Source organism: Homo sapiens, chromosome 8 (genome assembly GCF_000001405.40).
Source record: "Homo sapiens chromosome 8, GRCh38.p14 Primary Assembly".
Lineage (NCBI taxonomy): Eukaryota > Metazoa > Chordata > Mammalia > Primates > Hominidae > Homo > Homo sapiens.
The window spans coordinates 119,403,260-119,429,534 of NC_000008.11; the positions used below are offsets into that span (position 1 = coordinate 119,403,260).

Here is a 26,275-nt window from a genome sequence, read left to right on the forward strand (position 1 = left end):
AAATACAAAAATTAGCTGGGTGTGGTGGCAGGTGCCTGTAATCCCAGCTACTCGGGAGGCTGAGGCATGAGAATCACTTGAACCCGGGAGGCTGAGGTTGCAGCAAGCCAAGATTGTGCCACTGCACTCCAGCCTGGGTAACAGAGCAAGACTCCACCTCAAAAAAAAAAAAAAAAAAAAAAGGAAAAGAAAAAGGAAAAAAAAAACCATTTTATAAAGGGCTGGTATGTGTACATGTGAACATGCATTTATGCATATTGGTTCATAGCCAAAAATGCTTGAAAGCCACTGTTCTAGTTGGTTTGCAGAAGACCTGGACACACAGGGTAGCTCCAGCAAGAAAGAATTCTTCTGAAACTTCAGCTCTACTCTGGAAAGTTCTGGAAGACGATGGAAAAGAGTAGAAGTTTGATTAGTACACTCTATAATCATGCCTGATGTTGATAAAAATAAAGACATTGTACAACCACAAAAATGACCAAACTCCCATTCCAGCTAACACAAGAAACTATTGCCTCTTCTCCAAACACAAAATCTGTGGTTACTTTATCCTGCCTCTGCAATAAAGATAATTAAGATAACCAATCATCAACTTACTTTTGTTTCTTGTCAGTACTCAATTCAGGACAGAACCCAACTTCCATGAAATATCCTCAAAATCACCTAACCCAAGCCCAAATCTTATAACAAGCCCCTCCTAACTTTTTCTTTCTGAGACGTTCCACAGTTCCCTATGGTGTGTGTTACATGCAAGTACCACTAAAGTTGCAGGAAAGAGAAATGAATTTATTGCAGTGGATTTGTCAAAGCATTAGGACTTCATTCTCTCACAGGACCCAATTCAGAAGGGCTGCAGGACTTTCTGTGTATATTTTATTTTATTTAGCCTAACAATCCTAGGAAGAAAGAATTATTAGCACTTCCATCCTACAGATAGAAAAACAAACTGACGCACAAATTGGTAAGGTAAAGAATCTAAGATCTAAGGATTTGGGCCCAGGCAGTCTGATGGCAGAGATGTTTCATCACAGAAGCTGTCTGGCTTCCAGCAAAATGCTACCACAATCTATTTAGTTATCCAGAGTCAAAATCTGTTGTTATGTTTATATCTGCATTACCCTGCCCTTTCATATCTAGCCAGAGCACCAACGAGGGTAATATATTCTCTACCTCCAACCTCCTACCTCCTCTTTCCATTCTCATTGCCACTCTGCTAGTTCAAATCCTCATTATCTCTCCTTAAACTGCTGCAAAATGTGTCAACTGCAATGTTTACCTCCAGTCACCTCCTCCTGTAATCAAATATAAATTCCTAAAGAATAATGTTCCTAAACACAGCCTTGATCACGCAATTCCTTGCCAGAAGATATGTGATAGACAGATCGATAGACAGATGATAGATAGATAGATAGATAGATAGATAGATAGATAGATAGAGAGATAGATAGATAGATAGATAGATAGATAGATAGATAGATAGATGAAAAGCCACTAAACTGTACAGTTTGTCATTTAGACTCCTCTAACAGTTGACAGCTGCAGTCTATTTTCATATCATTTCTCCCATTATCTTCCTCCCTCCAGATGAATTAAACTCCTTATCATTTCCTGAACAAGTCCTCAATTGTCTCATTCTTATGCCTTGGTTCACACTGTCTCTGTTCAGCCTACATTTCTAGGTTTCAAAATTCTATACATGAATGGGGGACTTCAACACCCCACTGACAGCATTAGACAGATCATGAAGGCAGAAAACTAACAAAGAAATTCTGGGCTTAAATTCTACACTTGACCAGTTGGACCTAACAGACATCTTCAGAATACCCTACCCATCAACTACAGAATATATATTCACATTCTTTTCATCTGCACACAGAACATACTCCAAGACTGAACACATGTTTGGCCATAACACAAGTCTCGATAAATGCAAAAAAGTCAAAATTATACCAAGCATACTCTCAGATCACAGCTGAATAAAAATAGAAATCAATACCAGGAAGATCTCTCAAAACCACACAATTACATGGAAATTAAACAACTTGTTCCTGAATGACTTTTGGGTAAACAACTAAATTTAGGCCGAAATAAAAAAAAAAAATTCTTGAAATAAATGAAAACAGAGACAAAACACCAAAATCTCTGGGATGCAGCAAAGGCAGTGTTAAGAGGAAAGTTCATAACACTAAATGCTTACCTCAAAAAATTAGAAGATCTCTAATTAATGATCTAACATCACACCTAGAGGATCTAGAATAATAAGAACAAACTAACCCTAAAGACAACAAAAGAAAAGAAACAATTAAAATCAGAGCAGAAATGAATGAAATTGAGACCCAAAAATCCAATCAAAGAATCAGTGAAACTAGAAGTCAGTTCTTTGAAAGAATAAATGAGATTAGTAGACTGCCAGATAGACTAACAAGGAAAAAAAGAAAGAAGATCCAAATAAACATGATCAGAAATAACAAAGATGACATTACAAGTGATCCCACAGAAATACAAAGGATTCTCAGAGACTTATATGAACACCTCTAGGCACACCCTCTAGAAAATCTACAGGAAATGGATAAACTCCTGGAAACACACGATCTATCAAGATTAAATCAGGAGGAAATTAAAACCCTGAACAGACTAGTATTAAGTACTCAAATTGATTTAGTAATAAAAAATCTACCAACCAAAACAAGCTCCAGACCAGATGGATTCACAGAATAACTCTACTGGACATAGAAAGAAGAGCTGATACCAATTCTACTAAAACCATTACAAAAAAATTGAAGAGGAGGGACTCCTCCCAAACACATTCTACAAAGCCAGCATCACCCTGATACCAAAACCTGGCAAAGACACAATGGAAAAAGAAAACTATAGGCCAATATCCCTTATAGTCATAGACAAAAAAAATCCTCAACAAAATCCTAGCAAACCAAATCTAGCAGCACATCAAAAGTTAATTCTGATCAAGGAGGCTTCATTTCTGAGACGCAAGGTTGGTTCAAGATATGCAAATCATTAAATGTGATTCACCAGATAAGCAGAATTGAAAACAGAAACTATATGATCATCTCAACAAATGCAGAAAAGGCTTTTGATAAAATTCAACATCTTTTATGATAAAATCCCTCAACAGACTAGGCATCAAAGGGACATACTTCAAAATAATAAGAGTCATCTATGACAAACCCACAGCCAACATCATACAGAAGAGCCAAAAGCTGGAAGCATTCTCTTTGATAAATGGAACAAGACAAGGATGCCATCTCTCACCACTCCTATTAAACATAGTACTGAAAGTCCTAGTCAGAGCAATCACGCAAGAGAAAGAAATAAAGGGAACCCAGATAGAAAAAGAAGTCAAACTATCTCTCTTCACTGATGATATGATTCTATACCTAGAAGAAACCTAAAGACTGCGAAAAGTCTCCTGGAACTGATAAACAACTTCAGTAAAGTTTCAGAATACTAAATCAATGTACAAAAATCACTAGAATTTCTATACACCAATAACATTCAAACTGAGAGTCAAATCAAGAATGTAATCCCATTTACAATAGCCACACACACACAAAAAAAACCCACTAGAACTGCATCTAACCATAGAAGTAAAAGGACTCTACAAAAAGAACTACAAAATGCTGCTGAAAGAAACAATAGATGACACAAACAAATAGAAAAATATTCCATGCTTATGAGTTGGAAGAATCAATATTGTTATAATGGTCATACTGCCTAAAGCAATATATAGATTCAATGCTATTCCTATCAAACTACCAAAATCATTTTTCACAGAATTAGAAAAAATCTATTCTAAAATTCATATGGAACAAAAAAAGCCTAGATTGACAAAGCAATATTAAGCAAAAAGAACAAAGCCAGAGGAATCACCTTACCTAACTTCAACAATATTATAAGGCTACAGTTACCAAAACAGCATAGTACTGGTACGAAAACAGACAAATAAATTAATGGAACATAAATAGAGAACCCAGAAGTAAAGCTGTGCACCTATAGCCATCTGATCTTCAACAAATTTGAGAAAAATAAGCAATGGGGAAAGGACTCTCTATTCAATAAATGGTGCTGGGATAGCTGGCTAGCCATATGCAGAAGAATAAAACTATACCCTTACCTTTGACCATATACAAAAATTAACTCAAGATTGATTAAAGATTTAAATGTAAGACCTCAAACTACAAGAATCCTAAAAGAAAACCTAGGAAACACCATTCTGGACATGGCCTTAGGGAATAATTTATGACTAAATTCTCAAAAGCAATTGCAACAAAAAACAAAATTGACAAGTGGGACCTAATTAAACCAAAGAGCTTCTTCACAGCTAAAGAAACTATCAACAGAGTAAACAAACAACCTACAGAATGGAAGAAAATATTTGCAAACCATGCATCTGACAAAGGTTTAATATCCAGAATCTATAAGGAACTTAATTCAACAAGCAAAGAAGCAAGTAACCCCATTAAAAAGTGGGCAAAGGACACGAATAGACACTTCTCAAAAGACAACATACAAGCAACCAAGAAACATGAAAAAAATATTCCACATCACTAATCATCAGAGAAATGGAGATCAAAAGTGCAATGAGATACCATCTCACACCAGTCAGCATTCTGACTTTTAAAAAGTCAGGAAACGACAGATGCTGGCACAGCTGCAGAGAAAAGGGAATGCTTATATACTGCTGATGGGAATATAAATTAGTTCAGTCACTGTGAAAAGCCGTTTGGAGATTTCTCAAGAAAACTTTAAAAAAGAACTACCATTTGACCCAGCAACCCCATTACTGGGTATATATCCAAAATAAAATAAATCATTCTACCAAAAAGACACATGCACTCATATGTTCATCACCATACTATTCACTATAGCAAAGACATGGAATCAGCCTAGGTGTTCATCAACAGTGGACTGGATTTAAAAAAAAAAGTGGTACATATACACAATGGAATACTGTGTGGCCATAAAAAAGAATGACATCATGTCCTTTGCAGCAATGTGGATGCAGCTGGAGGCCATTATCCTAAAAAAAATAAGGCAAGAACAGAAAACCAAATATTTCATGTACTCACTTATAAGTAGGAGCTAACCATTGAGTATTCACGGACATAAAGGTGGCAACAATAGATACTGAAAGACTACCAGAGGGAGAAGGGAGGCGGGGAGCAAGGGTTAAAAAGCTAACTGTTGGGTACCATGCTCATGACCTGTGTGATAAGATCAATTATACCTCAAACCTCAGTATGACACAATATAACCATGAAACAAACATGTACATGTATCCCCTGATTCTAAAATAAAACTTGAAATTATTTTTTTAAAATCTTAAATCATTTTTAGTAATCACACAAAAAAATTCTATCTATACTTGATCCAACTCAATGTCATTTAGTCTCCAAGGCAATGTGGTTTAGTAAAAAGACAAACAATGAAACATGGAATTAGAGTCTTTCTCAACATTCCCTCTGCAGACTCCACCACACTCAACTTCTCACAGCAAAGAAATTAATTTCATCCTCCTCTAAGCTTCTCTTCTACTTCGCTCATGTTTGTTTGTAGGAATTATCACATTCTGCCTCATGTGGTAGTTATTATTTACTTCATTTTCTTATGAGGTTAAAAAAAATCCTTGAGAATACAAAGCATCTTATTCATCTTACATTTATGCCATGAAGTATTAAGTAGTTATCAATAAGTTAATAGGACATTGTGAACATTCACATCGTTAAATGCAACAAAGTTCTGTGGTCATGCCTCTCCAAAAGTCTAAGTTAAAAGGTGCTACAAATCCAGAAACTGGGTGGGAGAGGTTGTATTTCTTGGCTCTAAGATATCATTTGGGAATAGGGAACTCTCTCAAAAAAGAGCCTAAATTTTTTTCTTCTTTCTCGAGGGACAATAATTTGAAAATTTTCAGGACCTCTCCTGTATTTAAGTGATGCTGCCTTCCTTGCTCTTTGTATACTCAGCCACCAGCATTTGTGAGTTGGGTCTACCATCATCCAATATGGAGCACTCTTGACAAGCTATTGGTTAATCTGATGTTCAGTCCATATGTATGTGCCTTTGTCTCTGGCACCAATTCCTAGTCTAAAGAGTTCTGGTCAAGGGAGCAGGACTGAGTTTACCCTACCATGCTGTTACAATGGAATTCAATGAAGAATTCATATTTTTTCTTTAAAAAAAAAAAACTGCTCAGGACCACTTTGTTTAGCTGAGCATGGAAGTGGGCAATGTTGGTGCCCAGAAGCTGGGAATGCTGCATGCATAGAAGCTTGATGCACTCCTCTCCAGTTCAGAAAACATTTAAATACTTATTTGATTTCCACAGAGCCTACTTCCCTATAAGAAAGACCTTATCTAATGGAAGGAATTAACTTGTTTCTCTCATTCCTAGCAAATTGCTAGCTTGAATGACTTTTTACTTAACCTCCTGGGTTTTTTCTTTAAGAAATTCACTTAAGAATAAAAAATGTTTTAAATACAGGCAGTAGGAAAATGTTTCCAAAGAAACATTTAACTTTTATGTTTAACTTTTCACCTCCCATCACAGCTTCTTCTCTGCTCCTCATTGTTGTTGGAAAAGCAAGAAGTCAAGGGATCTGTCAGAAAAGCAAGAGGGTGTGATTGAAATTAGCCATATAACTGGACGTCACTTAGGCCTGGCCTGCCTAACATATAGTGGAAATTACCTTGTGTTCTATCAACTCCCTGGGGCCCCAGAAAAGGGACATATGAATGAAATTCAGAAAAGAGCAACAAAATTATTAAAAAGCTGTGGGGTTGATTTATGAGGCACATTATGAAAGCTAAGTACATGTGGCTTGGCTAAACAATGACTAAATGAAGACAGGATGAATGCCTTTGAGTTTACGGAGAATACAATCACTGAGAAAAAAAGAGGCAGGGAGTTGTCTTGAAGGTGATAACATCACTATCACCACTTTTGTTCCTTTTTTTTAGTTGTATGTTGTTTTTAAACTGATACATCATAATTCTACGTACTTAAGGGGTACAGTGTGATTTTTCAAGACACGTATAGATTACATCATGATCAAATCAGGGTAATAGCATAGCCATCACCTCAAATGCTCTTGATTTCTCTGTGGTAGGAACATTAAAAATCCTGTCTTCTCGCTATTCTGAAGTATTTGAAACTTGTTTTTATTATACTTTAAGTTCTAGGGTACATGTGCACAACGTGCACGTTTGTTACATATGTATACATGTGCCAGGTTGGTGTGCTGCACCCATTAACTGGTCACTTACATTAGGTATATCTCCTAATGCTAACCTTCCCTCCTCCCCCAACCCCATGACAGGCCCCAGTGTGTGATGTTCCCCATCCTGTGTCCAAATGTTCTCATTGTTCAATTCTCACCTATGAGTGAGAACATGCGGTGTTTGGTTTTCTGTCCTTGCAATAGTTTGCCCAGAATGATGGTTTCTAGCTTCATCCATGTCCCTACAAAGGACATGAACTCATCCTTTTTTATGGCTGCATAGTATTCCATGGTGTATATGTGCCACATTTTCTTAATCCAGTCTATCATTGATGGACATTTGGGTGGGTTCCAAGTCTTTGCTATTGTGAATAGTGCCACAGTAAACATACGTGTGCATGTGTCTTTATAGCAACATGATTTATAATCCTTTGAGTATATACCCAGTAATGGGATGGCTGGGTCAAATGGTATTTCTAGTTCTAGATCCTTTAGGAATTTTCACACTATCTTCCACAATGGTTGAACTAGTTTACGGTCACCAACAGTGTAAAAGCGTTCCTATTTCTCCACATCCTTTCTAGCACCTGTTTTTTCCTGACTTTTTAATGATTGCCATTCTAACTGGCATGAGATGGTATCTCATTGTGGTTTTGATTTTCATTTCTCTGATGGCCAGTGATGATGAGCATTTTTAGTATTTGAAATATTATTGTTGACTATAGTCACCCTATGGTGCAATTTAACAGGATAATTTATTCCTCCTAACTGTAGCTTTGTACCCACTGACTGACTCCTCATGTCCTCCCCTCCTGACTTCCCCCAGCTTCTGGTAACCACTATTCTACTCTCTACTTCTATGAGGTTGTTTCATTTTTTTAATATGGGGGCAGGGGCTGTGCTATTTTAACTACCTGCTACAGAACTTAGCACCAATTTTTTAAATTTTTCATAATAATAAGAAAGATAACACAATAGCACTGAAAACAACATAGTACCTTTAGAAAATGTAGGCAATTCTCTAAGTGTGTTCTGGATAAGAGTACTGACTGAGAAGTAATAAGAATATAAATCAATTAACAGGCTATGTGAAAAAGAAAAGGCAAAAATGAGCCCCTGATGTCACATCTGTGATGAGGGGATGAAAGGAGAGGACAAAATTAAAGGGGGAAAAGTAAATTGGCCAAAGTCCTTGCAGTTCATAACCCCATGGTTAGCTGCCAAGCCCAGCAATTCAAAAAAGAATCTCTAATAAGGTATCCCCTGACTTCTCCCAGAGACCTCAACTGCCACATGGATTATTTCAAACAGGAGAAGATCACCAGCCTGTATTCCATCCTTTTAGTGCCAAGCAAGACCCAGAGAAGTTTCATGTCACAGGCTGATGGGTGGTGGCTGATAGGACCAATTTAGCTGCTGCTGAAGAGCAAACAGCCTCCAGTTTGTTTCTTATCTCATCTTATGCAGAGCAATGAAAAGTGGCAAAACTTAAAGTGGAGTTTGCAGTATCTCAAAAGGTCCAAGAACTGACCACTTGCCTGACCCTGAGGTGGATGTTGGGGATGTTACTGTAAATACGACATGCTCTGTGTCCTCAAGGACTCCCAGGCAGGACAGGGAGGCAGTCACCAAAACAGACAAGTACAGTCACATCTTACATAACAATATTTTGGTCACCTACGGACGGCATGTACAATGGTGGTCCCATAAGACTGTAATGGAGCTGAAAAATTCCTATAGCCTAGTGACATAGTAGCTGTCATGACATTGTAGCACACTCATGTGTCTATGGTAATGCTAGTGTAAGCAAACTTACTGCACTTTCAGGCATATAAAAGTATAGCACATATAATTATGTATAGTCCATGTTTGATGATGATAATAAGTGACTATGTCACTGGTTTATGTATTTACTATACTTTTCATCATTATTTTAGAGCATACTTCTACTCATAAAAAAAAGTTAACTATAAAACAGTCTCAGGCAGATCCTTCAGAAAGTATTTCAGAAGAAGACATTGTTATCTGAGGAGATGACAGCTCCATGTGTGTTATTACCCCTGACAACCTTCCAGTGGGACAGGATGTGGAGTGGAAGACAGTGACACTGATGATCCTGACCTTGTGTAGACCTAGGCTAATATGTATGTTTGTGTGTTATTTTTCACAAAAAAAAAAAAAATAAAAATATTAAAACTAGAAAAAAGCTTATAGAGGCCAGGCACAGTGGCTCATGCCTGTAATCCCAGCACTTTGGGAGGCCGAGGCAGGTGGATCACGAGGTGAAGAGATTGAGACCACCCTGGCCAATATGGTGAAACACTGTCTCTACTAAAAATACAAAAAATTAGCTGGGCGTGGTTGTGTGTGCCTATAGTCCCAGCTACTTGGGAGGCTGAGGCAGGAGAATTGCTTGAACCAGGGAGGCAGAGGTTGCAGTGAGCCAAGATTGCACCACTGTACTCCAGCCTGGTGACAGAGAGGGACTCCATCTCAAAAAAAAAAAAAAAAAAAAAAAGCCTGTAGAATAAGGATATAAAGAAAATATTTTTGTACATCTGTACAATGTATCTGTGTTTTAAGGTAGGTGTTATTACAAAAGGGTCGAAAAGTTAAAAAAATTAAAAGTTTATACAGTAAAAAAGTTACAGTAAGCTAAAGTTAATTTATCATTGAAAAAGGAAATTTTTGAATAAATTTAGCTTAGCCTAAGTGTAGTGTTTATAAAGGCTATAGTAGTGTGCAGTTATGTCCAAGGCCTTAACATTCACCCACCACTGACTCACTGACACCCACTGCAAGCTCCATTCACGGTAAGTGCCCTACACAGGTGGACAATTTTTTATCTTTTATACCATATTTTTACTGCACCTTTTCTAAGTTTAGATATGTTTAAATCACAAATACTTACCATTGTATTACAGTTGCCTACAGTATTCAGTGCAGTATATTCTGTACTGTTTGTACGTTTGTAGCCTAGGAGTAATAGACTATATCATACAGCCTAGGTGTGTAGTAGGCTACACCATCCGCATCTGTGTAACTACACTCTATGATGTTCACACAACAATGAAATCACCCAAGGACACATTTCTCCAACAATATCCCCATCATTAAATGGTGTGACTATAATGATTATCCAGTGAGTTATGAGATAAAAGAGATAAGCTCGGCATCCCAGGCCTGCACTGCGGATAACATCTATCCCGGCATGAAGGATTTCAGAGACTATGTCCTGGAGGCAGTGAAGCATGACATGACATGATTATCATCAGATGGTATCACTTTCAATTTACAATTGTTTTAAGATGAAGATCCTCATCCTAGAGCATTTATAGCAGATGATGGAGTGGATGTGTATTGTTTTGCTCACCAAGCTTGCTTTCTTTTTAAGGAACAGTCCTTTCTTCCCAAGAGAACTGCTCTTTCTCTCCATTCCAACCATGAGGTTCTAACTAATCCCCATACTTCACCTTCCTTGTCCCCATTGATTAGTCCAGGGTGAACCCATCCAATTTAATTCCTGGAACTTTTAAAGTTGGGCCTAAGAGACAGGGACATTCCTTCTGTGGTGATAAGGTCATAAAGTAAGAAGATTGGAAGGATCATTTTTCCCTTATGTGGAAGTAATCCTGTTGGCCCTCCTCTCTCTAGATCCCAATTGCCTCTGAGGACTCCCTGTACCATTCCTGTGCTGTCACTATGTGAAACATCACAGCATCCTTCCAGTAAAGTCCTCTTTTCGCAAAAACTAGTTCAAGTTTGGTTTCCATCTCTTGCAATCAAAACTGAATAGCAATTTTACACTTGCAGTGACTTCTTGACATGTTAATCCTTGTCTTAAAGTTACATTTTCCCTGTCACCACTCCCACCCCACTCTTTCCAAGAAGAGCTAGCCCAATCTCCATGTTGCCAATTTCTCCTTGTTCTATCTGAGTCTATTCATGCTTGGAACACTTGGCCGATGCTCTTTGCCTCCCCATTAGCAGTGCTTCTAGTTGCTCCATTTCAAAGTACATTAAAATGCTGTCTACCAAGAGCCACCACCAGAGAATCCTACTGAGTGGGTCAAGAGTGGGGCTCAGGAATCTGTATTTTTAACAAAATACATGCTGGTTGATTCGATCTGCAGCCAGATGGAGGCATCATTAGGCCAAATGGCTTACAAAACCTATCAGTTTTTTTGTTTTTTGTTTTATCTTTTTCTTAAACTTTTATTTCAAGTTCAGGGGTAAATGTGCAGGTTTGTTTACACAGGTAAATGTGTGTCATGGACATTTGTTGTGCAGATTATTTCATCGCCCAGGTATTAAGCCTGGTACCCATTAGTTATTTTTCCCGATCTTCTCCCTGCTCCCACCCTCCACCCTCCAAAGCCTATCAATTTGAAGAGTAGGTAAATGTCCTACTCAAGAGTGCAAATGAACTGTTTCATCTCTAGTTAAGTTTGAGTACTACTCAGTCTCATTTACCTCAAAGAAAGCAGAACTATTAGAGGCTTGGAAGTGTGTCATAGTGGTTTCAGGCTGCCGAGAGAATTATCTAGAAGGGGCTTGAGGTGACCTCATCATCTGCGGGTGTTGCAGAGGCAGACCTGGCCCCTTCCGCAAGCTGCCTTTGATTTCCTTCATGCTGGGGACAGATGAGGTAGAGGCCATTTGTTTCTTTTTAAACTCTAGAATTACATCACAGGCCTGTATAATTTTCCTTAAAAAGTGTTTTTTGTTTTTTTCCAAAGCAACTATCCTCAAAAGAGCTGGGCATAGTTCTCCTAGGGGCAGCACCAGTGTTGAAGTGTGGGGGGAAACTGTTCTAAATCCTTCAAACAATGTCACCTTTGGAGCAGTAAAACTGCTCCCTTTTTCCCATGAGAGATGACAAGCATGCCCCAGCAATCATTTCTTGAAAGCGGATGCCCGGTGAGAGAAGGATTTGATTTGCTGAAGGGTCAGCCAAGTTAAGCCAGTTTCTTCCTCATTTCTTCCCTGGCTGGAGGTTTTGATGGTGGTGATGGTGGTTGAACTGAACCCACTTAGAAAACTGTCAAAGGTTTCTGGACTCTCAGGTGTGCCGTCTCACATTTGGTCTGCTACAGCAGGTGCTTCAAGGCTTTCTTCTGCCAAGATTTCTTTGTTTTATTTTATGATGTTTTCTTTATGTGTGTGTGTGTGTGTGTGTGTGTGTGTGTGTGTGTGTGTTTTACTTTTATTTCTAACAAACCTGTGGACCTTGGGGTTTAAGACTGAGTGAAGCTAGAAGGATTAGAGTCAAAAGAATTTTGCCATTTGGCCAATAGCATTCCCCACCTCCTGACATATCGATTTTTTTTCTAGATTCCCTTCCCCCTGCCACTCCCCTCCCCCCAACACACACACACTTTTCTCTTTCTCCTCTTTCTCTCCTTTCCTCCCTTGCTTCTCTCCCCTCCCTCTCAACACATTCAATGAGTGCCCTAAACGGTGACAAACTTGCATGTGCTTCCCTCATGACTAAACCCCTGGGCCTTCTGCCAATCCCCTGCAGATGGCCCCAAACTGCAGGCATCCCGTAAGGGGACCCCACGCTTGCAGCCCTGGTTGGAACGGTCAGGGTGGAGGAGGATGGTGGGGAGTGGTGGTGTCTTCGTCCTGGGAGAAGGCGAAGCAACTTCCAGGAGGAAACGGGCGTTTCCTTCCCACGCGCTCGAGCGAGCCCTGGGTCCTGGCCTCGGAACTCCACCCAGCCCCTCCCCACCCTCTGGGAAAAGCCAGTCGCCACACACAGGCACACGCAGGCCCCGGCGCCGCGCCCTAAGGAGAGCAGCACCCACAGCCAATTGCCATGGCAACCCCGGGGTTCGTTCCACTTCCCCACCCAGCCGATCTCCCCCCTCCTCCCTGCACTGCAGCCAACCGGCTTGTGCGCGTCCCAGGAGCGCGCTATAAAACCTGTGCTGGGCGTGATCGGCAAGCACCGGACCAGGGGGAAGGCGAGCAGTGCCAATCTACAGCGAAGAAAGTCTCGTTTGGTAAAAGCGAGAGGGGAAAGCCTGAGCATGCAGAGTGTGCAGAGCACGAGCTTTTGTCTCCGAAAGCAGTGCCTTTGCCTGACCTTCCTGCTTCTCCATCTCCTGGGACAGGTAAGTGGCACACCCTTAAGATGCCCCCAAGTTACTTTGCCCGCCTTGGTGGCCCCCATTTGGTCACCGGGCTCACTGCGTCTTCTGTCCCAGCTGAGTGGTTTCTCCTTGTCTCGCCTGCCTTCAGGTCGCTGCGACTCAGCGCTGCCCTCCCCAGTGCCCGGGCCGGTGCCCTGCGACGCCGCCGACCTGCGCCCCCGGGGTGCGCGCGGTGCTGGACGGCTGCTCATGCTGTCTGGTGTGTGCCCGCCAGCGTGGCGAGAGCTGCTCAGATCTGGAGCCATGCGACGAGAGCAGTGGCCTCTACTGTGATCGCAGCGCGGACCCCAGCAACCAGACTGGCATCTGCACGGGTAATCCTGCTCCCTCTGCTGTTTGACCTCTTCTCCTGCAGCTAAGTGAAGCTGCTTCCTCCCTTCTCTTTTGTATTCCCCTTCCCAGAGGGCGATAAGCAAATAATAATAATGCAATAAATGACATGTATAGAGCACTTACTGTGTGTCAGGCATGGTTTGGGGAGCACTTGGGGCTTTGGGGAGCGCCAGAGCCAGAAAGGAAACCTGCCCTGGGGGTGAAAGGCATTCCTCACTTGGCTTCCTAGACAAGAATCTAAGCAAAGGGGGAGCCACGCAGAGTTAAGGGCCAGTGAAGTCATTTCCTTCGGACACTTCTAGGGGGCCACTTGGGGCTGATGGAAGCTCGGGTTTACTCACACGCTCACAGTTTCCCAAACTGCAGTTGGGGAAAACCCAGCAGGTTTGTTTTCACACCTGTAATTGTCCCATTTGAACCAAAGCAGCTGCTAGTCTCCTGGGATAACTATGTAACCCTTTTCTGGCTGCAAGTAAAATAAAATGCAGGCAACTAGCCAATCCAGGCTTCTAAAACGTAATCAGTCGGGGATCAATTTTTCACATGATACAACATTGTAGTTGAAGATTGTCCCTTCCTTTCTGGACAGGAGGGCTTTTACTTTTTTCTCTAAGCTACTGATGATTTTATTATGCTTGAGTGTCAAGGAATCTTAATGCCCTTCCCAATTTGATCAGCTAACCTGTTGGAAAACATAAAGTACACTTTTTCTCTTTTTAAGTCTAAGCTGCTGGAGTAGGAAACTCTAAGGAGGTTCTCGCAAAATGACTGAACATTGGGAAAAATGGCCAGGGGACCTTGGGGACATCACTTCACAGTTGCACACCTCTTTCCTCATCCATAAAATGAGTGGCAAGACTAGATGATCTTGAAGGTTTCTTCTTGCTCTGAGAGGCCTCCATGAGGACATCACTCTACAGTAGATACATGAGAAACCAGATCGCCTGAACTAGAAAAGGACTTGGGTTTTGGAACATGCCCTCCAAATCTTACATAGCTTCTTCACTGTATTGTGTTCTTGTTTTTCCTCTTCCTCTTTGCTTTTCACTTTGCTTCCCCAATATTCTAGCGGTAGAGGGAGATAACTGTGTGTTCGATGGGGTCATCTACCGCAGTGGAGAGAAATTTCAGCCAAGCTGCAAATTCCAGTGCACCTGCAGAGATGGGCAGATTGGCTGTGTGCCCCGCTGTCAGCTGGATGTGCTACTGCCTGAGCCTAACTGCCCAGCTCCAAGAAAAGTTGAGGTGCCTGGAGAGTGCTGTGAAAAGTGGATCTGTGGCCCAGATGAGGAGGATTCACTGGGAGGCCTTACCCTTGCAGGTGAGAAACTCAATATACCTAGGGCTGGTCATAGTAGAGGGTAAATACAAACATGAAGAATTTGCAATCTCTTGGATTTGAAAAGAGAAACTGGCCTCAGTTTCTGGTCATTCAGTTGTGGGTTTCAGGTTGCCCACTGAGATCAAACACATTTGTAGACATTAGATCAAACATATTTATAAACTCAAACTAAGTTATAGAAGGTTGCTGCAATTTCTCCTGAAGAGGACCTCCCAAATTCACTCTTTTGTCTTATTTTTGTCTTATTGGATGACTACTACTTGTATTTTAATCCATCCCACTTGACCCTCATTAGCACTACAAAGACAAAATTTTAAATTCTCTTTCTTTTCTGGATTCTGTACACTACCTAGGCCGTCTCATGATTAACCTCCTTAAAGAAGGCTACTCATCCCTGCACAGGTGTCACTGAAAAGTGTCATCTTTCTAGATGCTGTAGTAAGGCTCAGATGGCACTTCAGGACCTTTTTTTATTCTTATTTTTGTTTTCTCTTATCAATGAAATAGTTTAAATAAAAAATCTCAAGAGACAATAGAGGATTATTTTAGAAGCCATTAATTAGCCAGATTACTTATATTAGCAGTATCCGGAATTGTATACTATTTCTGAGGGCAGACATTATCAGCCATGCCAGAAATAAATAAATAGATAAATAAATTCAGTTCTGTGTCCTGGGAGCATGGGTGTTTAGTAGGTACAGAGTCGAATGAGACCCAGTTTCTAATAATGGCTGAAAAGGACCACTTTCCAATCCTCACATTGTACCTAATATGGCTGTCTTTATTTATACATCCCATAGCTTACAGGCCAGAAGCCACCCTAGGAGTAGAAGTCTCTGACTCAAGTGTCAACTGCATTGAACAGACCACAGAGTGGACAGCATGCTCCAAGAGCTGTGGTATGGGGTTCTCCACCCGGGTCACCAATAGGAACCGTCAATGTGAGATGCTGAAACAGACTCGGCTCTGCATGGTGCGGCCCTGTGAACAAGAGCCAGAGCAGCCAACAGATAAGGTAGGAGCCTGGAGGAAACCTCCCATCCTGAAGGTAATGGCCTTGTGTCCTTGGAGCCTGGGCTTCAGAAAGTCACTGTGTCACTCTGTGACGGAGAGAGCAGCTATAGCGGGGAGTTAACCCCAGAGAAAAGGCAGTGGGGTTCTTGAAGCCAGCCTATCTTCTTTTTTCTCTTTAACATATTGAAATACTCTAAGCAACTCACAGTACACCCTCAGGTAAAGAGGGAGAGGGACCGGAAAACTATAATGCTTTTCCCAATAGAGAATGGTCTAGCAAATCCCATTCCATTCCTGGAGAAAACTGGCTACAGTTGTCAAGCACAGCTGATTCTAAAGAGGTCACTTCTGACCTCAGTTCTCTTTATTCGTCAGGTTCTGTATGTATGGGTAGAGGCCATGTGGGTCTTACCTCTCAGTCCTCAGCTTTCTACCTGGCAGATATTGTGTGCGTGATAAACAACTGTTGATAAATAAGCGAGTGACTGTCTGGGAATTATTGTTGGTATTTTTAAAAACCTAGTGGAAATAATACATTTGCCAGCATAAAGCAATATGGGCCAAATAAAACAGCACATATCTTTTTATTTTTTTTTTGTTGGAATTACATCAACTCAGTATGTTAACACTGAATGTGAGACGTGCAGTTCAGAAGCTCTGATTGGTTGCTGATGACATCACAGGCCTTGTTACCAGAGCCCTATATCAGAAAAATGCAATACCCAATTTGAACCATTATATGGATCCTTATACAAACCTAAGACTAAAATAAAACAGCCCTTAGCAATTCAAGATTTACATATCTTGACACTGAAGCAATATCATCTAATGCGTAAGAGGACAACTGTGGAGCCAGACAGCTTGGCTTCAAATTCTGTCTTTCCACATGAACCAGCTATGTAATCTTGGGCAATTTTCTTAACCTCTCAGCCTCAATTCCTTCTCCCACATAATGGGGCGGCTGAAAGTACCTACCTTAACTTGTCACGATGATTACATAGAATGAATTTGCAAAATGCTGGGTATAGATTAAGTACTCTGTTAACAGTAGCCACCATTACTTATGATTTCTATTTACTGGTAAAATAAGAGTCCCTAGTGGTTGCATTAGTTATATGGCTGCTTAGCTATATAATTTTTGGAAGTCCATCCTAACTTTACTTTTCTTCCACCAGTTTAGAAAGAACACCTAGAAACACCTTATCCCTAAAATTATATCCTAGGAGATGCACTTCCCCACGCTCAGAGGAATTCAAACATATATCTAACATAGTCATATAGGTTCACCCACATAAGCAGTCTCACATACAAACACATACACACACATAGGAATGTTGTTATCCTGTACCATTTTGTGGGTGTTGACAAGAATACACGCTAAATATTAAATTGAAAAAGTAAGAAGAAGTCCTTAAATATTTTCAATAGCACAGCAACTTCTTTATTAAACAAGATGTTTCCATTTAATGCCTCTAAGATGTGGCTTTTTCTATTGTGTCATTTTGCAAAATTTGTATTTTTTCTTGTAACTTGAATCTTCTTTAATATTTGGATATGTTATTTTAAAGATGGTTATTTATAGTATACATATTTTATAAAAATTGTACTAGTATAACAATCATTACTTCCTTGTCTCCAAGAGATTCTTAAATCTAAGACAGTGGTTCTTTTTTTTTTTTTTTTTTTTTTTTTGAGACGGAGTCTTGCTCTGTCACCCAAGCTGGAGTGCAGTGGCACAATCTTGGCTCACCGCAAGCTCCGCCTCCCGGGTTCACGCTATTCTCCTGCCTCAGCCTCCTCAGTAGCTGGGATTACAGACGCCCTCCACCATTTTTTTGTATTTTTTAGTAGAGACGGGGTTTCACCATGTTAGCCAGGATGATCTTGATCTCCTGACCTTGTGATCTGCCCGCCTCGGCCTCCCAAAGTGCTGGGATTACCGGCCTGAGCCACCGCGCCCGGCCGACAGTGGTTCTTAAAGGGTGGTCCCCAAACCAGCAGCATCATCTAAGAAGTTGTTAAAATGTAAATTTGTGGTGTGGGTCCCACATCGGATGTACTGAATCCAAAACTCAGGGTGTGAGGTCTGACAGCTTGTTTTAAGAAATCCTCTAGATGATTTTGATGTGCACTGAAGTTTGAGAGCCACTGATTTAAGATAATTCCAAGTCTAATCACCCCACAAGCTGTGGGTCATGCCTATGAAGGTGAACAGTGGATAACTGTAGGAAATTAGTAGATTAAGAAATATAAGTAAGAAATAAAATATAGCCAATTCTTTGCTGAATTATCAACATTGGGCCTCTTCATTTATCATTACTAATACAATCTTGAAAACATTCTCCACTTTATTTGCCTCCATGCAAATTCCATGTCTTGGAATTTCCTGGGTTCATCACGTAATAGAAAGAATGGGCTTTGTACAGACAAATTCAAATATTAGATGTTTTCTGATCCCTTTAGGTCTTTGAGACTCAGTTTCTTCATCTGTAAAACTTGGGCAATTGTTCTTTCTATGAATGATTATTTCTTGTATGAATGAACACTGTTAATAAGGTTGAGTTAATGTTTGAAGAGTATTTGAAACATAAAATAATGCCAGATTTATAAACATTCTTTTTATAACATGTTGTATTAGTCCATTTTCAAACTGCTATGAAGAACTACCCAAGACTGAGTAATTTATAAAGAAAAGATGTGTAATTGCCTTACAGTTACACATGGCTGGGGAAACTTCAGGAAACTTACAATCATGGCAGTAGGTGAAGGGGAAACAAAACACATCTTACATGGCAGCAGGACAGAGAGAGACAGAGAGAGAGAGAGAAAGAGAGAGAGAAAGGCAGAAAGAGAGAGAGAGAGACAGTGAGAGGGGAAGTGCCACACTTTTAAACCATCAGATCTTGTGAGAACTCACTATCACGAGAACAGCAAGGGAAAAATCTGCCCCCATGATCTAATTACCTCCCACCAGGCCCCTCCTCTGACACGTGGTGATTACAATATGAGAAGAGATTTGGGTATGAACACAGAGAACCAAACTGTATCACGTGTAAAAATCCATTTGGCTAAAAATGACACCAAAGCATGTTACAGTGTCTTAAAAGATAGGTTTTGTTATGCTTTCACCTGCATGCTCATCTCCTCAATGTCAAAAGACCATTATGTACAATTAGGCAAGGTGTTTACATTCCAGGAAGAAAGGAAAATGAATACAGGAACAATAAAGAATTGTACCTACTCAAAGGGCAAAGAATTTCCCAGATTCTCTTGGCCAGAACTTTGCCACAAGGTTATCCCAAGTCCCACATAGTCTGTGGAAGCAAATACTTTTAGCTGACTACATTGCTCAAGCAAAATTAATGTTCTGATAGCAAAGAAGAAAGACCAATAGATATTGGGTGGGCAACTAGCAGGTAATTCCATACTCTAAAATTGTCCCTCAGGGGAATGGTAGCCATTCAATACATCACTTCTTTTTTCTTTCTTAGAAAGGAAAAAAGTGTCTCCGCACCAAGAAGTCACTCAAAGCCATCCACCTGCAGTTCAAGAACTGCACCAGCCTGCACACCTACAAGCCCAGGTTCTGTGGGGTCTGCAGTGATGGCCGCTGCTGCACTCCCCACAATACCAAAACCATCCAGGCAGAGTTTCAGTGCTCCCCAGGGCAAATAGTCAAGAAGCCAGTGATGGTCATTGGGACCTGCACCTGTCACACCAACTGTCCTAAGAACAATGAGGCCTTCCTCCAGGAGCTGGAGCTGAAGACTACCAGAGGGAAAATGTAACCTGTCACTCAAGAAGCACACCTACAGAGCACCTGTAGCTGCTGCGCCACCCACCATCAAAGGAATATAAGAAAAGTAATGAAGAATCACGATTTCATCCTTGAATCCTATGTATTTTCCTAATGTGATCATATGAGGACCTTTATATCTGTCTTTTATTTAACAAAAAATGTAATTAACTGTAAACTTGGAATCAAGGTAAGCTCAGGATATGGCTTAGGAATGACTTACTTTCCTGTGGTTTTATTACAAATGCAAATTTCTATAAATTTAAGAAAACAAGTATATAATTTACTTTGTAGACTGTTTCACATTGCACTCATCATATTTTGTTGTGCACTAGTGCAATTCCAAGAAAATATCACTGTAATGAGTCAGTGAAGTCTAGAATCATACTTAACATTTCATTGTACAAGTATTACAACCATATATTGAGGTTCATTGGGAAGATTCTCTATTGGCTCCCTTTTTGGGTAAACCAGCTCTGAACTTCCAAGCTCCAAATCCAAGGAAACATGCAGCTCTTCAACATGACATCCAGAGATGACTATTACTTTTCTGTTTAGTTTTACACTAGGAAACGTGTTGTATCTACAGTAATGAAATGTTTACTAAGTGGACTGGTGTCATAAACTTTCTCCATTTAAGACACATTGACTCCTTTCCAATAGAAAGAAACTAAACAGAAAACTCCCAATACAAAGATGACTGGTCCCTCATAGCCCTCAGACATTTATATATTGGAAGCTGCTGAGGCCCCCAAGTTTTTTAATTAAGCAGAAACAGCATATTAGCAGGGATTCTCTCATCTAACTGATGAGTAAACTGAGGCCCAAAGCACTTGCTTACATCCTCTGATAGCTGTTTCAAATGTGCATTTTGTGGAATTTTGAGAAAAATAGAGCAAAATCAACATGACTGGTGGTGAGAGACCACACATTTTATGAGAGTTTGGAATTATTGTAGACATGCCCAAAACTTATCCTTGGGCCATAATTATGAAAACTCATGATCAAGATATATGTGTATACATACATGTATCTGGTTTGTCAGGCTACAAGGTAGGCTGCAAAATTAAATCTAGACATTCTTTTAATGCCACCACACGTGTTCCGCTTCTCTCTTTTAAAGTATTTATAAAAATATAAATTGTACATTTTGTAAAATATTATGTTTGATTTCTCTACTTGTCATATCACTAAATAAACACGATTTTATTGCTGCGTGACTCTGTATTACTTTGGTGCATAAAAGTTGAACATTGTTGTTTACTGAAAATAAAATTAAAATTTATGAATTAAATGAGACATCAATCAATAGCATCTATTGAAAGCAAAATGAGTATTTCTGGATGAGCTTACAACTTCTTATCAGAAGGGAAACAAAAGACAACTCAGTATTCCTGAGTTAGATGTTCCTCACCATCACAGCCTCAACTAGCCTCCACACTACTTACCCAGACCCTCATCTCAAGCCCTGATCTTTTTTTTTCTGGACAGCCCGCTAGACACCTCTGTATATTGAAATTTAAACTTGTTATCTGACCAAACAAAATTCAGCTCTGTGGCTTCCTCATCTAATCAAAGGGCATCCCATCCTCCCAATTGCACGGCTTAAATGGCCAGCACTTTCTTGATCAGTATTATCTTGCCAAGTACCCAGAAAAGCATATTTCCATTGATCATGGGGAATTGCGTGACAAACTGGGCTGCACACTGGGCAGAGTCACAGTTAATAGAAGTTTTGTGTTTGGAAGCTTCTTGCTGATGCAGTGTGGCTCTCAAGTTCTATAATTTGTAAGGAAAAATCTTTTCAAAAGAGTTTTACTATTACCAACTTCACTTCCTGGGTCTGCCCCCTCCTTTCTGCACCTCTCTTTAGCTAGTTTCTGTTTGTCCTTTAAGATGGATTAGAAAGCAACTTTGCCTTCTAGGAGTTTATTCACACGAAATTATCAAGGACAGCAAACATTTATTGCACAACAGCATTGTGCTGAGAGCTGTACTTGCATTATATTGTTTAATTGGCACAATAGTCCTATGAAGTAGGCATTCTTCATGTACCCATGTTATGGATGAGGAAACCAAAAAAAAAAAAATGTTAAAAGAAACTGGTGGATCTAGAATTCAAACCAAAGTCCTTTTACTTTCTACTTGCTAACATATGGATCCTGGCAAAGATGATCTATCTTCAGACTGTTCTACCATGTGTTGTTCATAAAGGCAAAAAAAAAAATAGAAACAAAGATTCCACAGTGTAGATCTGGCTACATTAATTATAGTATACCCGTTAGGATGAAAAACAAAGCAATCTTCAAACTGAGAATATAAGAAAAGATATCCGAAAATATACCACAGAATGGCATGAAACTAGGAAAAGAGTGATTTGGTTTTGTTCAAAAGTATCTATGAACATGAATCAAAAGAGACCTAGGACAGAACGTGTAACAAAATCTGATTAGTGATTTAGACTAACGTCAGACTAGTCTCATTTTTGTTCTTTTCTGTCATTTCTTTACCAACTTTTTTTTAAAACTGTGAATATACTACCTTTATCACCAGAAAAACAAAAATTAAGGCTGACTTATGTCCCTTCTGGCATAGTTCTTGCACTGCTACTTACTCATATAGAGATGGCTGCTCCTTCCAGCAGCTAAAGCATTTGTTAAGTCATTCACTTTGTTCATTCAAAAACTACTTACTGATTGCTTCTATGTGCCTAGCATTGTTTTAGATCCTGGGAACACAGCCATGAGTAAAATAAACAATAAAAATAAACACGTTCTCTCTTCTTCCTGAAATTTACATAACGCTGTTGGGAAAGGCAGGCAAAAAAGCAGCAAACAAAGAAGGTGAATTTCAAACAATGTGTAAATAAATCTGTGAGGATCATCAAAACAGAGTGATAACATAGAAAACTTCTGGGTGGCTAATTTAGCTTGAGGCAAGGAAATTCTTTCTAAAGAGGTGACATTTCATCAGAATGACAAAGAGAAAGAATCTTCCAGTGAGAGGTAACATCTATTGTAAAACAAAACGAAACAAAACAAAAACAGTGTCAGGGAGTATTAAGGAAGATCCATGAGGCTAGAGTACAGAATAGGAGGAGAGGTGGGAGATGATGTATCTGCAGGGGCAAGAGTATCAGGACTTGCCTCTGTCATCATAGTTCTCACAGTATTTTACAACCAATTCTCTATACCCCCATTATGAGCATCTTGAGGCCAGCATTTTAGTCCTCTGTATCTGCCCAAGTCCCTGACACACAGTAAGACCTCACTGTGCATACCTGTTGAATGAATGAATAAATATATGAATGAATGGTCTCTGCACTGGCAGAAGAATGTTCTTTGAAATAAATGTTAGACTATCATTTTCGTTATCACCATCACCTGGAGAGCTCTCCAACATACATAAACACACATGCATGCATTCCCGAAGTTATAATTAAAGGCAGTCAGAAAATGTGATCTGATGTACAAATATTTGCAAATTTCGGAACATTCTAGTAACACAGCAAGGCAGGAAACATTGACTGAGCAGAGTTTAGGGCTGCAGAAAGAGCACAGGCTTGAGAATTATCCAAGCCTGGGTCTGAATGCCAGGCCTACTCTTTCCCAGCTATGGGATACTGGGCTCTCTGCACAGTCTCTGGAGCTCAATTTTCACATCTGTAAGATGAGACCATGTATGGATAGGGTGACCGACTGCTCCAGTTTATCTCGTTTTAGGAGTCAGGACTTTTCAGTTATAAAATCAGGACAGTCCCAGGCAAACTGGGAGAAGTTGGTCACCCTAAATATCAACCTCATAGTATTACAATATATATTCATAAGCGCTTGACTGTGCCTGGCACATAGTAGGTCTGCAAATGGCAGCTGCTGATATAAGTGTTTAGTAGAGCCAAGCATTGCCCCTTATTCTACACATTTAATGTTCAAAGGTAGACATTATTGACCTTATTTTTACATGGAAAGATGAAGAAACTCAAAGAAGTTAATGACCTATTAAGGACACAGTAAATGAAGGAGCTAGGATTCAAACTCAGGGTCTGTCTGAGCTCAGAGCCAAAGCTCTTTCCTTTACACAGTGCCACAGACACTGAGGCCAAGTATATTTTCAGCAACCAAAACAATTCCAACAGTTTCATTTTTGTGCTATTTTCCCAAACTATAAATGTTCTCTTTTAGTAACAGCATTGCAAAGTATTGAGACTGTTGAGATCATTCTATGAATGTCACATTTTGAAAGCACTTAATTGCTGGTGTAGTGATAACTCACATTTCATTGAAAATTATTTGGGGATTTTTCTTTTCTTTTTCCACACAAAGATTCAATTCAACAATGAGGTAAGAACATCTTTAACTATACAAAGAGCTAATTTGTTACATACATATCTGTACTTGATGAGATTATCAGTGAAGCTTTGGTGGAGATTTCTGGGCAGTACTAGATTTCTCTCACAATGTCTTCCTTGTAGGTACATGTTGTCATCCTTCCAAATGGGTTTCACTCCAAAATGTTCAACATCACAAGTCAAATCATCAAAACAGTATGTCCTTTTGGCTATGGGCTATAGGGCTTAGTTTGACAATCCAATATTGTTGGAAATGTATTCATCTTAACCACACTGCACAGTTCTTGCAGGCATTCTTATGCTGTCTGGACCACAGAGGGTTCACAAAATTCAATTACTACTTCAATAACACCGCTGGCACTTGCTGAACTCTGAATAATGAAGGATTATCTGCAGCCTTCCAGCTGAGGACCGTGAATTACTGTTACATTAAGCCAGCTGTTCTGGGGATAATCAGGAGGTGCAAAGGGTAAAGATGGCAATGTTGTACCAGTCTTCCTAAAGAATGTGTGTCTTTCTCCTTAGGACAAAAAAAATGGTCTGAATTTCAGCCCAGTATACAATTCCATTCAAATGACAAGGTTTCACAGAATGAACAGCCCACAGGTCCTACTGGAAGGAAATTGGCAACAAATATTTTATAATCCAAGCAGAAAATGTGGCTTGGACTTACATTTTATTAGCAAAATCTGAGAACCAGACTCTGCTTGTAGCATAGAATCAGAAGTTTGGAAGAAGTTATAAAGTTCTTAGCTTGGGTTAAATATGGGTCAGTATGCTCCAAGCTGACCCAAGTTTGTCCTGCTGAAGCAAGGCCACTTAGAAGATCCTGGGAGGACTTTGATACAGGAGATGCTAGTAAGTGGGCATTCTAGCTCCTCTGAAAGTTGAGCAGTGAGAATCTTCCCCAATAATTTGTAGAAAATCATAGCCCCCAGAAAAGAGAATAAAGACCATAAGGATCCTGTTAAGTGTACCATGTTATCTCCCTAAATTCCATTTCATGGTTCAAGAATCCACTCTAAGTTCACCTTCTCTAAGAAGCCTTCTTCACCAGCACTCTTTTGACTACAATGAGCCTGACCCAACCTCTTTTGTGCCCAACTGCTCTTTGTAACAATTACTATCATAGCAGCTGAAACACCATCTCTGTTACTTGTTTGTATGTGTGTTTCCCACGAAACCCTAAGCTCCATGAGAGCAAGGACCTTGTCTGGTTTTCTCACGGCTGTTTTACACAGTGATTCTCAAGGTTGTTCAGCACAGTATTCCAAACAGCTGAACAGACTGAACACTTATTATCTAACCATCTAGCAGCAAAAACCCAACATTTCAGGCCAAAATTTCTATAGCTTCTCACATTTTCTCCTAAAAATGCAAGTACTTTTTGACTTCTCCTTAATCTTCAAGTAAAATTGATGCTCCAGAAAAATGAACCATGTTTACACTGAGACCTCTTGCATCTTCTTGCATATTTCATGTAGTCAAATTAGCAGTAATAATAAAAAAGATTCCAAATTCTATCTCAATTTAGGTGCCATCAATTGTAAGGTATACTATTAATGTACATATCAAAAAGAAATTTTAAAATTCTGTCAATTGGCTCAGGACACATCATCAATTGGAACACTCATATCACTTTCAGAAATGAAAAAAAAAATCTAATGTTTATTTTAGAATATATGAAATTTAGGGAAAAAATGAAAAAGGAGGAAGTGGAGGAAGAGGAAAAAACTGACATTTATCAAGCTTATTAGGTTCTAGACACTATGCAAAGTGCTTTACGTAGATTACTTTATTTCCTTTAATTCTTATAACAGTCCTTTGAGGTCAGTACTATTTTATCTCAAAATTACAGATGAGGAAAATGAAGCTTTAGAAAGAAAAATAGCTTGCATGGCATCATAAACCTATTATGTGGTAAAGCCAGAATATGAATCCTCACATTCTGAATCCAAAATGTGTATATTTACTCTGCCTTATTGCCTATATTCTGGGTTTCATGTACTCCATTTGGAGAAACAAGTAATTGTTGCACAAGAAACT

At 39.7% G+C, this 26,275-nt stretch overlaps 1 protein-coding gene and 1 long non-coding RNA gene across 2 annotated transcripts in view, besides 1 other annotated feature; one reads left to right on the top strand and one right to left on the bottom strand.

The window, feature by feature from the left end:
• The window catches only part of LOC124902009 (uncharacterized), a 66,420-nt gene extending 53,370 nt beyond the window's left edge, over nucleotides 1-13,050 (bottom strand). The window contains exon 1 of the long non-coding RNA XR_007061077.1: nucleotides 11,712-13,050. This is a non-coding gene — a long non-coding RNA (uncharacterized LOC124902009). The remainder of the gene's footprint in view (nucleotides 1-11,711) is intronic.
• On the top strand, nucleotides 13,187-21,175 carry CCN3 (cellular communication network factor 3). The gene is made up of 5 exons (NM_002514.4): nucleotides 13,187-13,357; nucleotides 13,485-13,710; nucleotides 14,799-15,050; nucleotides 15,872-16,086; nucleotides 19,577-21,175. The coding sequence occupies exons 1-5, from the start codon at nucleotides 13,274-13,276 to the stop codon at nucleotides 19,871-19,873; spliced, it is 1,074 nt and encodes a 357-aa protein (NP_002505.1). The 5' UTR covers nucleotides 13,187-13,273; the 3' UTR covers nucleotides 19,874-21,175.
• Nucleotides 22,391-23,133: an enhancer, noted in NCBI's record as "NANOG hESC enhancer chr8:120437890-120438632 (GRCh37/hg19 assembly coordinates)". NCBI's record gives its function as "activates a minimal SCP1, AML or CMV promoter by ChIP-STARR-seq in naive H9 embryonic stem cells {active_cell/tissue: H9 hESC(naive)}" and the evidence as "EXISTENCE:reporter gene assay evidence [ECO:0000049][PMID:30033119]".